At 39.1% G+C, this 17010-nt stretch overlaps 1 long non-coding RNA gene across 1 annotated transcript in view; it reads right to left on the minus strand.

Moving 5' to 3' along the window:
- Positions 1 to 4186: 4186 nt before the first annotated feature.
- The window catches only part of LOC107986400 (uncharacterized), a 137038-nt gene continuing 124214 nt past the window's right edge, over positions 4187 to 17010 (minus strand). Inside the window, exon 3 of the long non-coding RNA XR_007059111.1 lies at positions 4187 to 4740. This is a non-coding gene — a long non-coding RNA (uncharacterized LOC107986400). The remainder of the gene's footprint in view (positions 4741 to 17010) is intronic.

Raw genomic sequence — 17010 nt, forward strand, 5'->3', positions numbered from 1 at the left:
TAAAATTCAATAGATTGTTTTCTTTTAATACATATCTTAGAAAAAGTCAATAAATTTCTTCAACATTCTTAAAGGCAGCTGTGGCTTTACTCTTTATCCCTAAGTCATATGTAAGAAATCACTGTTTTTATCATATTTCAGTACAATATTCTGAAATTGGGGTTGGAGCTGGTGTCAAGGAGCTCCCCACTCTTTGGCTGGTAAGTTAGGGCATCAGTGACCAGGAGTGAAGGCTCCAGAGGTTGACACACCTCCCACCTGTGACTTCAGGCAGAAGACTACTTCTTGGCTATTTTTAGGCATTCCAAATAACAGCACTTGCCCATTTCACTGTCCACGTGGATACTATGCAAATAATGAAAATATTTCCACATGCATACATTGAGGTATGATCAATTGTGGGTGACTATAAAGTAGTAATAAAATCATCTTTTAAAATAACTGAAATGGCAATTGACCATTAAGCCTGTTATTCATACCAGCAACATTTCAATGATTCGGAAATAAGGAAAACGGGTAAAGTGTTTATATTTTGCAGTTCCACACTACTTGTATCTTTTAGAACAACAGCAATACACACTCTCTCAATATAAACACACACATGCATACACATACACACACACCCCTATATGTGCATATATAGATGTGTCTGTATGAACGCAACGATGAAAATATACTTTTAACATTTTATACAAATTCTCTAATTTTGAGAATATTTGGCATACCAAGAAAGAAGCCAGTTGGAATATTTTGTCTCTTAAGGCTGGCGGGAGAGAGGAAAAGAGAAGGGGAAAAGGACAATACAGTTGTAGGGTCCAGGTCCAGGCCCAGTATGAGCTTGGAGATGCCACAACGATGGAGAAGTGCAGGACAAAGCATTAGAAATAGACACAAAGGGGCTGCTCACCTGTTTCAGGACAATAGGGAGATCACCCTGGCGCCACGGGCATGTTCATAACTGCCAAATTAGACAGCAGACCATCCATTAATGATGCAGAAGAATGATCACTGTAGGGACAGGGGTCACTGAAGCGAAGCACCAGCACCAGGAACATCCCTGCATTCGCATGTGCCTTATGCCGAATTCGTATTACTGAGCAATGTCTAGAATTCCCATGGGTTCATGTAAAAGTCAAAAGTTTGAAAACCTATTATTCATAGTGACACCCTTTTAAAGCATTCTCTAGGAAGTCACTATGAGCTTTTTGTAATTCAAATTCTTCAGAAGTATATAGAGTCCTCTCCTCTTTAGACTCTAGCCAAGGGCTCTATAATATAAACTTAAGAGCACTTCCTATTTGTATTAAAACAACAACAACAAGAACAGAGAGCTGTCTGGCTCCCATTTAGAAAGTGTCTCTTAGCTGTTGACGCGTCATGAAGCACAATGATGGCTCTGAGGAGGGTGCAAGTGATTTTAGATTAAATGACCCTAAGACGTGACTTGTAAAGATGACAAATGCTCAAAGACAAGTGGTATGGGGGAGAGGGTGAATCCTAAAAAAGAGACAAGCTTCGTTTACACTTTATTCATAAATTTTATTTTAGAACACTTTTAGGTTTACAGAAAAGTTATGTAGTACAGAGAGTTCCTATATACCCCACACCCAGTTTGCCTATTATTAACAGTTTATATAAGCATAGTACATTTGCTAAAAGCAATGGAGCAGTATTGGTACATTATATTACCTAACATCCTATTTCTGTTCCAGCGTGCCATTCAAGATACCCCATTACATTTACTCATGTCTCCTTAAGCTCCTTTTGAGTTTGAAAGCTCAAGACGTTCCCTGTCTTTAATGACCTTGGCAGTTTTGAGGGGCATTGGTTAGGCGTTTTATACAGCGTTCTTCAACTGGGGCCTGTCTGGTGTTTTTCTCATGATTAGGCTTTGATGATGTGTTTTTAGGAAGAAGGGCACAGAGGTTAAGTGTCATTTTCCTCACAACATAGCAAGTGTATTGCAGTGTGCTAAGTCAAAATAAATACCCAAAAACACATTTTCAACTCCTAGTTCCCAGAACCTATAAATGTGACTGTACTTGAACTAGGTTATTTGCAGGTTTAACTGCATTAGAGATCTTGAGATGAGATCATCCTGGATTTAGAGTAGACCCGAAACCCAAGGACTTGTGTCCTTGTAAGAGAAAGTTGATGGAGATTTGAACACAGAAACACAGTGAGGATAAGGCCATGGGAAGATGGAGAAATAGGCTGGAGCGATGCAGCCCCAAACCAAGGAAGCCCAGGGCACCAAAAGCTGGAAGAGGCAAGGAAGGGCCCTGCCATGGAGTCTTCAGGGGCAGTGTGGCCCAGCTGACACCTTCGTTCCAGACCTTTGGCCTCTGAACTATGAGAGAATAAATTTCCTTTGTTTTAAGCAACCCAATTTAAGGTAATTTGTTACACTAGCCCTTGGAGATGGAACAGGTATTTACTATCCACATGACTTCACCACTGATGTGAACTTTGATCACCTAGGGGAGGTGGGATTGTCAGATCTCTCCACTGTTATTCTGTGACTATTGCATGGTCACAATGATACGCAGTAATTAACTTTACTATGCGTGGTCACAGTCCACACTCAAGTAATGAGAACTATGTGCCACCTCCTTGTAGATACATTAGATACATACAAGTTTGGAATCCTTGTGGAATTCTTCTTTATGGGAAACCTGTCTCCTCTTCACCTTATTTACTTATTTAATCACTTATTTATGATAGTATAGACTCATGGATATTTATGTTTTGCATTTTAATCCAATACTATAATTATTCTTTTTGTTAGTAACTTGTGCCAGATTTGGTCATTGGGAATTCCATCAGTTGATTCTTGCATTGCTTTGAAATAATGTCATCACTGCAGGTTTTGTTTTGTTTTGTTGTTGTTGGTTTTTTTTTTTTTTTTTTTTTGTATTTGCCTTGTATTTTTTTGTTTTGTGAATACTTTCTGAATTTCTGGCAAATGGTGCTCCAGGCTCAACTTGCGAGTTTTCTGCTTCTGAACTGGAACCAGTCATTTCTCCAGGAGCCCTCCTTCCCTTTCTTGGAGAACACCATCAGATGTAAAGAGCTGGATGCTGGCTGGGCTCTTGCTAGTGGGTTGGGTTTGCTTTTTGATTTGCTATTTACTACCTGTTTGTCCTTGAATATGCTACTTAAACTCTCTGTTTCATTTTATCTAACTTTTAATGAGGGTTATAAAACACCAAAAATAATTCCTAACCAATCTTGATTTAATGAACTATCAAAATTAACACCTATTTTCCATTTGCCTTTAAACCATCTGACTAGTGACCACACAAAGGAAAGATCTGATTAAGTGAAGTCACTTAAAAATCCTAGAAAATGAGGTATTTGAGCCACTCACAGGGAGAAAGCAAAGTGTAAAAACTGGAAGTGTTCAACATTCAAATTACTTTGCATACTATCTGTAGGATTTCACCATCTTACTGGAAGCACAAGCACAAGCACAGAAATTGTGAACTGAACCTTTTGTGTACATTTTTTCAAGGAGAACTTGGAAATTAAAACAGCAACAGACCCATATTCAAACAAGTTGATTCTGCCCTTTTCGAAAGATTGATAAATAAATGGACACACCTTATTTAACTGGTGAGTCACGAGGGGCTTCAGCCAGTGGCTGATTACCAGCAGGCCCAGAATATTTTTGTGTTTTAATAGCTCCCATGCTGCCTTGGTGTGTACTGGCTAACTGTACCCCCAGCATGGGAGTCTGAGGTTAACAATTTCATGCCATAACTGACTCTTCAGTAACCAACTGGTTAACCTGCCAAGAGGGCTTTACCACTATGATCTCCTGAGGCTGGTGTAGGACAACTACTGGCAGGCAGAGCCTTCCACGTTCTGGTCTGTGAAACCATCACTGCCATTGTCTCCTCCTCGTCAGCATTAGCCTTGACTGCAGGATGACTTAACTCTGTTCAACCAGAGATGTTCTTTGGCAAAGTTTTTGGCTGCATTCTAAGTGTGTCTGTAAATTGAAAGTGCAGAGATTTTGGTGAGACATTATGAAGATCAGCACCGCCAGTGCAATCCCTAATCTCCTTATGTCTAATCTTCTCATCTATATAAAGGGAAGTATAACTCTTAATGTATATGGCAAAAATTAAAACTTAAGAATTCAATGCTATGAGATGTTTGTAAGGAGCACTCAATAAATGTATCTATTGCCAGCTGCATTTTATATAGACAAAGATGTAAAGAGTGGGCAAGGCAGGCAGGCAGAGAGAAGATTGAGAGGCAGCATGGGGGCATTTCAGACAGAAGGATGCCTATGGCGCTGTGGGAGTAAAAGGAAAACATTATATAATTAAGTACTTTCCATCTGCCAGGAATTGCTCTAAATGCTTTCCAGGTGGTTCTCACTTGCTCCTTGCTCCTCAGCTAGCTTATTAAAGCCTTCTCACTTCACTGGAAGAAAACTGGGACACAGGGCGGGCTGCCCCTTATCCAGAGTCCATCACTTCTCCAGTCCAGATCCTGGCTCCAGGCCCACTTTGAGTGCTGCTGGCTTGTCCCGGAGGACTGTGTATGAAAACAGGAGCTCCTGGAAGCACAGTCTTTGTTCGGAGAGCAGTTAGTTAATCAAAGGATGAGGGAAGGATAATTGGAGAGACAGCACGACTACTGCAAAGGTTTGGTGCCCCACATGGCCAGGGACTCTCCAGCAGGGGTGGCCGCCTTTGAGGGCTCTTTTGGGAAGGGATGGGTGTGTACCTGGAAGACACATACAGTGGTTGGTTATTAAACGTTAACGAATCCGTGCACATTTTATCAAATGTCTTCTTTTCTGGTGAAAATAATATATGGTTCTCCTGAACTCTCAGGGGAGTGGAAGGAAAAGGGCCAGTTGGCACACAATGGAGCATACATGTCTTTTATTCTAAAAACTATTAAGAGACCTGAAAATATGAGCAATATAGATAGTAAGGAGGCAAGAAAAAAAAGGATGTCTATTAGACCAGGAGTCCCCAACCCCTGGGTCATGGACTGGTACTGGTCCATGGCCTGTTAGGAACTGGGCCACACAGCAGGGGGTGAGCGAACAAAGCTTCATCTGTATTTACAGCTGCTTCCCATCACTCGCACTACTGCCTGAGTTCCACCTCCCGTCAGATCGGCAGTGGCATCAGATTCTCATGGTTCTTCGTAGTTCTGTTGTGAACTGCGCAGGTGAGTGATTTAGGTTGTGCGCTCCTTATGAGAGTCGAATGCCTGGTGATCTGAGGTGAACGGCTTCATCTTGAAACCGTCCCCCTTACCACCCCGTCCATGGAAACATTGTCTTCCATAAGACAATACACAGGTGCCAAAAAGTCGGCAACCATTGTATGTCAATAGCAAGTATATTAGTTTGCTAGAACTGTGGCAACATCATACAACAAACTGGATGGTTTAAACAACAAAAATTTGTTAGGCGTGGTGAGATGCCTACAGTTTCAGCTATTTCAGAGGTTAAAGCTTGAGCCCAGGAGTTTGAGTCTAGCCTGGGCAACAGAGTGAGACCCCTGTCTCCAAAAAAAAAAAAAAAATCACAAACAACAGAAATTTATTCCTGATAGCTTTGGAGGCCAGAAGTCCAAGATCTGGGAGTTGGCAGGGCTAATTCTTTCTGAGACTGGAACGGAGATGCTGTTCCAGGCTTCTCTCATAGCTTCTGTGGTTTCATGGCAATATTCAGCATTCTTGGACTTTGAGAAGCTTCATCCCAGTCTCCACCTTCAACTGCATATGGTGTGCTCTCCATGTTCATATCTGTCTCCAAGTTTTCTCTTTTGTAAGGACATCAGTCATGTTGATTAGAACCCACCTTAATGAGGTCATTTTAAGTAGATTACCCCTTTAAGGACCCAGCCTCCAAAGATCAGGCTTGGAGGTGCTAACTGCTAGGACTTCAAGATAAATTTGGGGCAGGTTGGATGGACACAATTAAACTCATGACAGTGAGAGTAGTTAAAACCAGGTACTAAGTATAAATTGTAACAGTAGGATAGTCCTTCATGTTTATTTAAAACGTGAAAATTATTTACAAAAAATTCTCACGTGAGTAGTTTCAACTTTAGTTACACATTTTTAAATGTTATTTATCTCTTAAAGGCTGTTATAAAATCATCCAAACATCTTTATTTTATATTAATCAAAGAATAACAGCACTTAAATTTGCCATCACTCAGAATGTGCTACAGCATTTTGGAATTGTTTGCATAGTCTTTTTAATCATGAGAATTGAATATGTTTTTGGTGTGACATTGTTAATGTACACAAAAAATAAAGTGGTATCTAAAATGCATTTTACTTTAGTTGGAAGTTGAAGGAATAAGATTTATTCTTATGTCTAATTTTTCACAGCTCTTCACAATAAGGTTCTAAGTTAAATCATGTTTATTTTAGATAACTTAAAATCATCATTTTTGTTTAACACATTCATGAGAAGCAAAGGTCTATTTTATAGGTCAGAAGAACAAAGGAACATTGTAAAAATAAACTTTTAAAAATGGATTTATTTCTCCCCCAAAGAGAAACTATTCTAAATTCACCATTGGGTGTCATTCAGAGCAACTGTTCCCAAATTGTTCTGGGATGTGTGTGTGTCCCTGAGGTCCCTCCAGGTGACCCGCAGGCTAATCTCATGTAGTATTGATGCTTCTAATATGAAAATGTCTATATTTTAGTTTCCGGAATGGATGGTTTATGAATAATGTATAATATTTAATAAAATCAGACATTGCCTCATTAATGTCTCATCAAAAGTAGAATGGATCTTTCCCTTATATCTGGCATTTTTGGGTCATGTACTAGATACAAGTGGGTAGGTAGATATATATTATTTTGCCCTACTAAACACAGTTATATTCCAGAGAATCTAAGAATTAATTTTTAGAAGTTTTAATCACTAACCAGATTTAACTTAAAATAAAAATTACATGCAGTTATTAATTTATTTACTTTGCAGTGAGTATTTTTGTTTGCTTGAAAATGGTTATGAGAAAAGTGAAGTCCAGAGACACAAAAGGATTTCTCTGAAGAGCACACAGTACATTAGGATGAAGGTTCCAGGGTTGCTGCTTAATACACATTTTTAAAATTGAACTGTTTGAGGATAATCACAATATTTGTATTGAGGATGCTGATTATTTGGTATGAAAAAAATTATACTGGGCAAAAAACTCCATTGCCCTGTGACACTGAGGTATCGGTCTACACGCAGATCTCAGATTACCTAAGAAATGAGTGATTCCCATTAGTTACTCAGTATGTTATCTGGTCAATTATTTCCTTTCCCAACAATTACAACTGCTACAGTGAATTCATAACTGCTCTAAGTGATGAGAGTAAATAATTGGTTTTATCTAATCTTGGCACTGTATTCCTGCAGAACCTGCATCAATCTTAATATTTTGTCACTGACTTTTAAAAATCATGCTCACTTAGCCTTTTCCCAAGCTGGCATATATATCATTTTCCATCTAAATATGTCTTGCATTTTACATGAAAACTTATATGCTTTTAGTCATTTTTAACTTTCCTTCTCTTTCTTTTTTCCTCTCTGCTGTAGGACATGGTGGGGATGGAGTCGGAAGGAAGGAAGCAGATTGATGGGGCTGGGCATTGGTGTGACAAAGGGTAGGTGAGTGGGCGTCTTTGATCTCTGGACTGGAGCCAGCGGAGGCTGAAGAAACACTCCTTAAGGAATTATTTCTCCTGGAATTGGAAATCACAGCTTTCCTGAATCAAATTAGTTGACTCTGAATTCTAGTATCTGAAGTCTGCGTGTTTGAAAAGTAACTTCTAGAGGCTGCCAGGACCCCTGATACCTTTATAATCTCAAGTCATTTACAGTCTTCCCTGAGAAAATTTGTCAAATGCAATGAATCATTCAGGAAAATGCTATGCCCTCCCATTCCCCACCATTACCTTCTGGGTAAAACCCCAGATCCTAAACATGACCTGCAACTGCCTTTCACGATGTGATCCTGGCAACCTCTGTAAGACAACCCCACTTCATTCCCCAACCCACAACTGGCACTTCCTGTGGGGAAAGTTTCCAACATGTGCTGGTCCTTCCATCAATCCCTGCCTTGCCTATGTCACCTCCTCTGTGCTCAACATTGAGGCCAGTGCATTACTCTTTTAACCCTAGGATAACAGCTCACACATCATCTATGGGGTTTCCCCATGATGGCCTAGGTTGAACCTTTTCCCACCTGGTACTCATCACAGGACCATATAATTGCCTGGTGGTTTGTCACATTCGCTGGAGATTTCCTAGAGGTCAAATAATGAACTATCAATTTTATCTAAATTTCTGTGACTTAGAAGGTACACAGTATGTGGTAGATGCTCTGGCAAAGGTCTAACGACTGACTGACTACAGGAAGCTTTTAGGGAGGCAGAAAATGGGACAGTTGACATAGATTAGGCAAAGAGGGTGAAAGGATGCCCTGCTAGGGAGCTGCTTCCTTCTGCAAAGATGGATTTTCTGCACGTGGTGCTACAAAGAAAACACATGCTACATTACTCACTTTCAGGAAACTTGGTCTATAAAGGACATTATGGACTTTATCCTAATCATAGGATCTTGGAGATACTGATACTTAAATTTACTTAGTTTTAAAAATCAGGATATTAGCATTATTTCATTTTTTACTAGGAAATTGTTCTGGTAACAAAGCAGAGAAAGAAATGGACTGGGAATTGGGGTGAGTAACTATGGCTAAAGAGAGTGGGAAAAGTTATAAATTGGTTTCAGTCATCCTGGCAAGTGATAACTAACAAGATAGTAGTAGATGGAGAGGAAAATACATTAGCCAACAAAAGTTCTTAACATTTTCATGAAAAAGTCCCAATGAAGCCCCTTATCACATGCAATAGGGACACCATTTTTGCAAATGCTCTTTGATTTTATAATGAACATTGCAAGGGATGCCACTTAGCTGGATGGCATTGATCCCCTTAATGAAGGTGTACCTATCCCAGAGTTATTTTTGACTCTCTCCTAATTTGCTGATTCTCTCCTCTCCTACTCCAGTTTCTTTCTGGCTTTCTCTCCCATTGCATTTTTTTCCCCACCAAATTCTATTTGTGAATCAATTTGTCCCTAAGAATAGGGCAGCCCTCGCAAAAATGTATCCAGTACACAAAAAATGGAGAGTACAAGCAAGTAAATCAAAAGTGATCCAATTAGTGATTTTTTTTTTCTAGCACAGGAATACTGAGTCTTCATTTATACTTGGAAAAAATATAGAGCACTAAAACAAAAAAGTTCGTGATACTTTTTAAAGAAAAGTGCATATGCATTTAAGAAGTTATGTTTTTTTAATCAGCTGACAGACAGATGCCAGACAGCAGGTGTTCCCTGAGGAAAATGGTTATGTATTTATGGCAGGCTTAACACCGAAGATTCTGAAATCTTTTCAACTGTAACCAAATCCATTAAGCAGAGCAAAAGTGACATCACCAAAACAAGGAAACCGTCCTTACTATCCTGGAGGGGATCAAAATAAGAGGGGCTGGATGGATCCTGTTTTATGGGCCCCTCTTCTTGGACTCCAGATCACTAAAAAGACCCCTCAGTTATGAAGAGCAAGAGGCTCTCTGCCCCTCTCCTCTACAGTGGGGATTTTCCCCAGGATTATTGGTTGTTTATCTTTTAACAACAATACAGAGCTTTCAAGAGCTGAAGCAACAAAGTCTCCTGCTTTTCATTTCCCTTGCAACATCTCAGCGAGATTATTCCAACCACCTCCTCTGCTGGCAACCTACCTAGAGATCCACCACACTCCCATGCATCCTCCACACACAGTCTGTGCTGGGCGGTTCAGCTGGGTGAAGATGTTTAATGTCTTTCCTAAACTGGCCCTAGACATTGGTGGATTAAATGATTATAGAGAACACATCAGTAAATCTCACAAGGCAGAAAAAGACATCTGCTCATTGATTGACTCAAATCATCTATGAGTTAAAGCAGAATACAGTTTGAAACAAAACCCTTCCAGTAACACATTCCATGGAACGGGTGAGTCAGGGTTTTAGATACCCATGGCCACTGTGCTGTGATTGCCAAACCAGGATAAAATGGGACTGTGCTCAGCTTGCTACTCAGCACAAGTTTTTGCAGATCAATGGGCACATTTTTGATTTAACACAGCTATTTACATGACATATAAAAAGGTTCCATTGAAACAGGTAGTACCCAGCACAGTAGAAATCATTATTGATTTATTGTCTTCGCTGTGTCATTAGGATGGTTAAGCCTTTGAAGTGTGATGATGAGGAAAGCAGGGGCTCGATATTTCATGCAGAGAATCCAAAGAAAAATTAAACAATCATGACATGGTGCTGGAGAATATGTTTACAAAGTAATAAAAGAGTGCACATATCTAGGTGCTCCGTTTTGTTGTTGCAGTATCTGGATAGAATACGAGAATTGTATAATTGTGGTGAATACTCGTCCACCAAAGCTGACTTCATTTATCATTTCTCTTACTTAAAGAAAAAAAAAACAAAGTGAGTAAATTTTGGCATAAGTAAAAAGCAGAGGCAAAATATCTGTTAAGCTCTATGACTTGATTGCAAAAAGTAGAGATTAAGGTTATAAAATAATTAAAATGAAAATCACGATTTTGGTCATGGATTTGGTGTTAATTCCAGATTTTCCTATTCACACGTTCAGCAAGGAAATTTCTCATGAGTGAAGAAAGTTGTGTGATGAATATTCAATTCCTTGTTTTATGTGCATCATTCTTTTTTAAACTTTATTTTATTTTGTTTTGCCGTGTCCCTAGCAACATTAGAGCTACATGCAGCTACAGAAATACTAAATAGCTAAAGACCAGAGACATTTGTTCGGAGGTAAAAGCAGTTGATGCTGAAGTTTTTGTGAAACAAAAAGAGATCTTCACAAAACAACGCTGGAGAAGAGAGAAATGAGATTAAGTTTAGGGTATGAGATTTACGTCCGGGATATAGTTAAGGTTAATAACAAGAAGGAAGCCATTTGGGATTTCAGGACAGCTGTGGTGAGTATGGAATAGGAAAGGGTGCTCTAGAGGGCTGCTAAAGGGAGTGAAATCCACTCACAGAGGCGGAGGAATCCCCGAGGACTAGGTTACACACAACAACCAGTCCCAGGATGAAAACATTTGGTTTCCACATTGGTAACCACAGAAACACTATTTTTTAGCATGAAGAATACCCTGTTATAGGAACTCTACTACATTAAGGCTATGATGAATTTAAAGACAAAATCATAATAGTTTCTGAATGAATTTTAGTTAAATATGACTTTTAAAACATAAGCAACATTGCAACTTTACTGGTTCATATCAACAAAAATCAAGAGAAAGTGAGTTTTGTCACTTTTATGCAAGTTTCTGTTCCACTCAGGCTGCTTGGTATCTCACTGTGTGTAGTTTTTATCACTGGAAAACCATAATTTTACAGAACCACATGGCTCATATCTGAAAACCTCACTAGAGGATATCTAAATCATTGAGTATACAAATTATTAAGATTGTTAAAATAAAAGTAAAAAAAGAGAGCTGGTGATGAGCATTAAAACCAAAAGTCTGCTCTAATTCCATATTTTTTATCCTGAATTTCCTATTCTTATAACAAAGGCAATTCCGTGAAAGGTAAAATGATTAATTATGATCCCTAAGCAAGTGATTCCATGAAAATGAAATAACACAAAATAATGGAAAGATAGACTGGATATATTATCTATTTATTGTTGCATATGCAGTTACACCAGCATGTAAGAACTTAAAGTAATCATTTATTATCTCACAGTTTCTATGTCTAAGAATTTGGGCGGTTTTGGTTCAGGTCTACCAGGAGGCTGCAGTCAAGATGTTGACTGGGGCAGGAGTCATCTAAAATCTTGATTGAGGCTAAGGATATACTTTCAGCCTGGCTCCCTCATATGCCTAGAAAACTGCTGCTGGCTTTTGGCAGGAAGCCTCAAATCCTTGACACACAGACCTCTTGAGTGCTGTCCTTCATAGTAGGTGTATTTCCCCAGGGTAATTGACTCGAGAGAGAACAAGACCAAAACTACATGTGATTTAAGGCCTAGCCTCAGAAGCCACACTCTTTCATATCTCCAATATGCCACTGAATAAACTGAATGCAGAGGTCAGCCCTATTCTGTATCTAACACAGAGCTCTAGAACCCAGGCAGAGCTCCAGACCCACATTCCCAACTCCCTACAGCACACCACCATTTAAAATGTTCCCATGCTCCTCCAATTCACAATGTCCCCAAGTGATTTCAACTTCTCCCACCTGTCCTCCCCTCTCCACAAACTTCTCCTACTCTCCCCAAACCTAGCATGTAGAAATCTATGCCTTCAAAATGTGTTTGTTTCAGGTCCTCTGCACAGAAGGGTTTTCAGTTAGTTTTAATCTGAAACTTGAAACCTGACTCCTCCTTTTCGTTTATATTGGTCAAAACGTCTCACTGAGATGATGCTAACTTCTGCTCTACTGGTAACCTACCTAGAGGTTCACCACACCCTAATTCATCTTCAAAAATTATAGCAGAAATGCTTTTTCTAAAACTATGTTTAATTGGCATTACCCTCATAAACTTCTTTATCATTCCACATAACTTCAGTTTTACTTTCTTCTTGTATCCCTATTCTGCTATAAGACTCAATTAACTTTTTTTTTTTTTTTGAGACGGAGTTTCGCTCTGTAGCCCAGGCTGGAGTGCAGTGGCGTGATCTCAGCTCACTGCAACCTCCACCTCCCAGGTTCAAGCGATTTTCCTGCCTCAGCCTCCCGAGTAGCTGGGACTACAGGCGCCCACCACCGCGCCCGGCTAATTTTTTGTATTTTTAGTAGAGACGAGGTTTCACCATGTTAGCCAGGATGGTCTCGATCTCCTGACCTCGTGATCCACCAGCCTCAGCCTCCCAAAGTGCTGGGATTACAGGAGTGAGCCACCACGCCCGGCCACCCCAGGCCTTTCTAAAAGGCAAAAAATGTCTGATTATTAGGACTGTGGCCCAAGAAGGAAAGAATAAAAGTGTCCCAAACCTTCATGTCCTTTTTTTCCCACCACAGCTCTAAGAAAAGACCTTCATGAGTTTGGGCATGTAACTATTCAGTCTGTCTGACTCGTACCAGAGGAACCCTGAGTGACTGCTCTTGGACTCTAGTTTGCCGAGGCTGGTCCATAAATCCCAACCACAGCAGAACATAGGTCCCAGACACCAGAAGTGACCGGGAGGAGGGGCAGCCACAGGAAGTGGCCAGAGCCAACGGCTGACCCACTCTAGGACCAGTGAGAGCCCTTGGGGTGCCCCTTCAGCAACCTGTGCCCGAGCGGCCAGCTGTTATTCTCACTGATTTTACTTCCACAAAAGATGTTTGTTATTTCAAAATTTGAGGGAAAACCTCTCACCTGTAACTTCCTTCTAGGAGTGGGCAACAGAGACCAGATATCATTGTTTTAAGTTCCACAGGGAGAGACATTTAAGATTATCTTGTCTGAATAATTTTAACCAGTACAAATGTGTTTCTATTCATGATATAGTTTGTACTATGTGTATGTATGAATATATGTGTGTGTATGTATATGTGTATGTGTATATTCTCTCTCTCTCTCTCTCTGAACCGACAACATTATCATGGTGGCCTTGTTTCTATTTATTCCCTGAATACTTACATCATCAGCTGAGGAGATTTCCAGGCACTGGTGGAAACCTGCTTCATCTTTTTCATATGAAACCCTCTCCACATCAATTGTTACCCTCAGCTAAAGCTGAGCTTCTCTCAGTCTCACAGTTGCCAGGAGTCCTGTACATTTCATGGAATTTTCTCCATCTTAAAGGAAAACCTTAAAGCCATTCATTCACTCTATTTACTTTATTTTTTGTTGTGGCACATGAAGAGTTAAGCATCAGATAACTTCAGAAAGTCAATTAAAAAGGGATAGTGTCTCTTAATCACAGGGCTTTTCCTATCTATTTTTTCCAGTAGTTACTTTAAAACTGCTAACTTGAAATCACAGCCCTGTGCTGTCTTCAGAAGTTCACTCAATCAAAAGCCAAGTGCTGAGTAATCAAAGATCTTAAGTAACTAGAAGTTCTAACCCTGACCACAAGAGGATCAAAAATCCAGTAGCCAGAACTCAGTTCTTCGATCCAGCAGGCACCAGTGCATAATGAGAAATCCCCAAAGCCCTAGATCACAGCCGTGTCCTTGCCCAGCATAGAACTAAGCGGAAAACCTCTCTAATTCCTTAAGAGATCTTATCTGCCTGATGAAAATAGATATTGGCTTCTGTGTAGCATGATTAGAAGAATGCAAGAGGCTTAGCAAAGATGCGAGGGAAAGGCTCAGCCGGCTCATTTACATGGGGTTGCTGCTGACAGGTGGTGTTAACAGAAGAGCATAACCCACGGGCACAACCACACCTGAATTAAAGCGGCATTTATTTACTCAAGCTATAGAGGAATTAGCATTCGTTTATTTTGCCACATCCAATTTTTTAAATCTATTAAGCACTTCGATGCTTACTTTATTTTCTGTAACAAACAGTCAAGCTGGTTGAAGAGATGTTTATTTTCATTCAAAACAACCTGTCAAATGATTGTAACAGAAATGTAAGTGTTGGGATGAATGAAAATTATTTCTATTTATTTAGATCATAAATATTTGAAAGCCACAGATTCATTAATACATTACCATTGCTTATTGCTACGTAATGTGATATATACATGCGCACACACAAATGCAGAAACATACATATTACATGTATACTGTATATAGAATAGCATACCAATATTTTATATCAGATCATTTCACATTAGTCAGAATGGCTATTACTAAAAAGTTAACAACAATAGAAGCTGACGAGGCTGCAGAGAAAAGGGAACACTTGCACAGTGTTGGTGGGAATGCAAGTTAGTTCAGTCACTGTAAAAAGCAGTGTGAAGATTTCTCAAAACACTGAAAACAGAATTACCATTTAGCCCAGCAACCCATTACTGGATATATACCCAAAGAAAATAAATTGTTCCTCAAAAAAGACACATGCACATCTGTGTTCATCACAGCACTGTTCACAATAGCAAAGACATGGAATCAACAGAGGTGCCACCATCAGCAGTGGATTGGATAAAGGGAATACGGTACACCATGGAATACTATGCAGTCATAAATCAGAATAAAATCGTGTTCTTTGCAGCAACATGAATACAACTGGAGGCTATTTTCCTAGGCAAAATAACACAGGAACAGAAAACCAAATACTGCATGTTCTCACTTACAAGCAGGGCTAAACATTGCATATACATGAACAGGAAGATGGCAACAGTAGATGCTGAGGACTACCAGATGGAGGAGGGAAGGAGACAGGCAAGGGTTGAAAAATTAACTATTGGGTACTATACTTCAGTACCTGGGCGATGGGATCAGTCATACCCCAAACCTCAGCACCATGCAATATGCCCATGTAATAAACCTGTACATTTTATTTTTACAAAATAAAAGTTATAAAAAATTGCTTATTTTAGAATACTATGTTTTAAGTTTATAAATTTATAACATGTACATTTACATCATCATGTAAAATTTGTGTATATTTGTACATTTGGCATTGAAATTTGAAGTTAAAATTATCTAGAAACAATAAGCCTTTAGAAAGATCAGGCAGAACCTAAAATCGTATGATACATTTTGTCACCTTTAGTACTCACAGGATTCAAAAACATTTTTTAGAGGGGAAAAGCGTTTTTGAAAAGTGTCAGTTATGTGAATATTTGGAAAATGCAAAGTTACTTTGAACAAACAATATCTCCTTCCTAACTTATTACCAAAGTGCTGGACATTATTAACACAAGGAAAATGCTTATACCCGTGGATTTTTTTTAACTCTGTCATTGTTAAAGTTGGTTTTCTATTCACATTGTTGCCTCTAAATTTAGAGCGATTCAATATAACAGAAATATTTTGTCATATATGAAAGTTTAAGATCTGGTTGAATACAATGTATTACTGTATACTGCAAAATTTAACAACACAGGACCTATATGCTTGCATAAGGGAAATGAAGCAAACACAATTAGGAAAAACAAAACAACACCAAAACCACAACACTGAAATAAGTTGGGTAGTTTTGTATTGGAATAAAGTTCAATATGAAAAGAAAATATTTCAAAGAGTAATATCAATTTTGGTCAATAAGTGCAAATTCCAAATCATTTTATAACTAATATCAAAAGGCAGACTCAAGTGAATTTGTATAAAACTTTTAAACAACTTTATTGAGATATCATTGGCACACAATAAAGTGCAAATACTAAAAATGTAAGATGTTGGCTGGGTGTGGTGGCTCATGCCTGTAATCCCAGCACTTCGGGAGGCCGAGGTGGGCGGATCACCTGAGGTCAGGAATTCAAGACCAGACTGGCCAACGCGGTGAAACCCCGTCTATACTAAAAATACAAAATTAGCAGGGCATAGTGGTGCAAGCCTGTAGTTCTAGCCACTTGGGAGACCGAGGCAGGAGAAGACCTTGAACCTGGGAGGCAGAGGTTGCAGTAAGCCAAGACCGTGCCATTGCACTCCAGCCTGGGAGATAAGTGTGAAACTCTGACTCAAAAAAAAAAAAAAAATTAAAAAATAAAATAAATAAATAAAGTAAAATGAAATAAAATCAATAAAAATATAGGATGTAAAATTTAACATGCATATATATCTATGGACCTATCAGAGCTTGTTTTGGATGTATACCAAACAGTGCAACTGCTGGATCATATGATAGTTTTGTTTTTAGTTTTTTGAGGAAACTCCATACTGTTTTTTCATAGTGGCCACCCTAATTTACATTCCCACGAGCAGTGAGCTAGTGTTCTCCTTTCTTCACATCCTTGCCAGTATCTGCTAAATTCTGTTGTTTTGATAACAGACATTTTAAATGGAGTAAGATGATATCTCATTGTAGTTTTGATTTACAATCCCCTGATGATTAATGGT

The sequence above is a fragment of the Homo sapiens genome, chromosome 5 (assembly GCF_000001405.40).
Source record: "Homo sapiens chromosome 5, GRCh38.p14 Primary Assembly".
Taxonomy (NCBI): domain Eukaryota; kingdom Metazoa; phylum Chordata; class Mammalia; order Primates; family Hominidae; genus Homo; species Homo sapiens.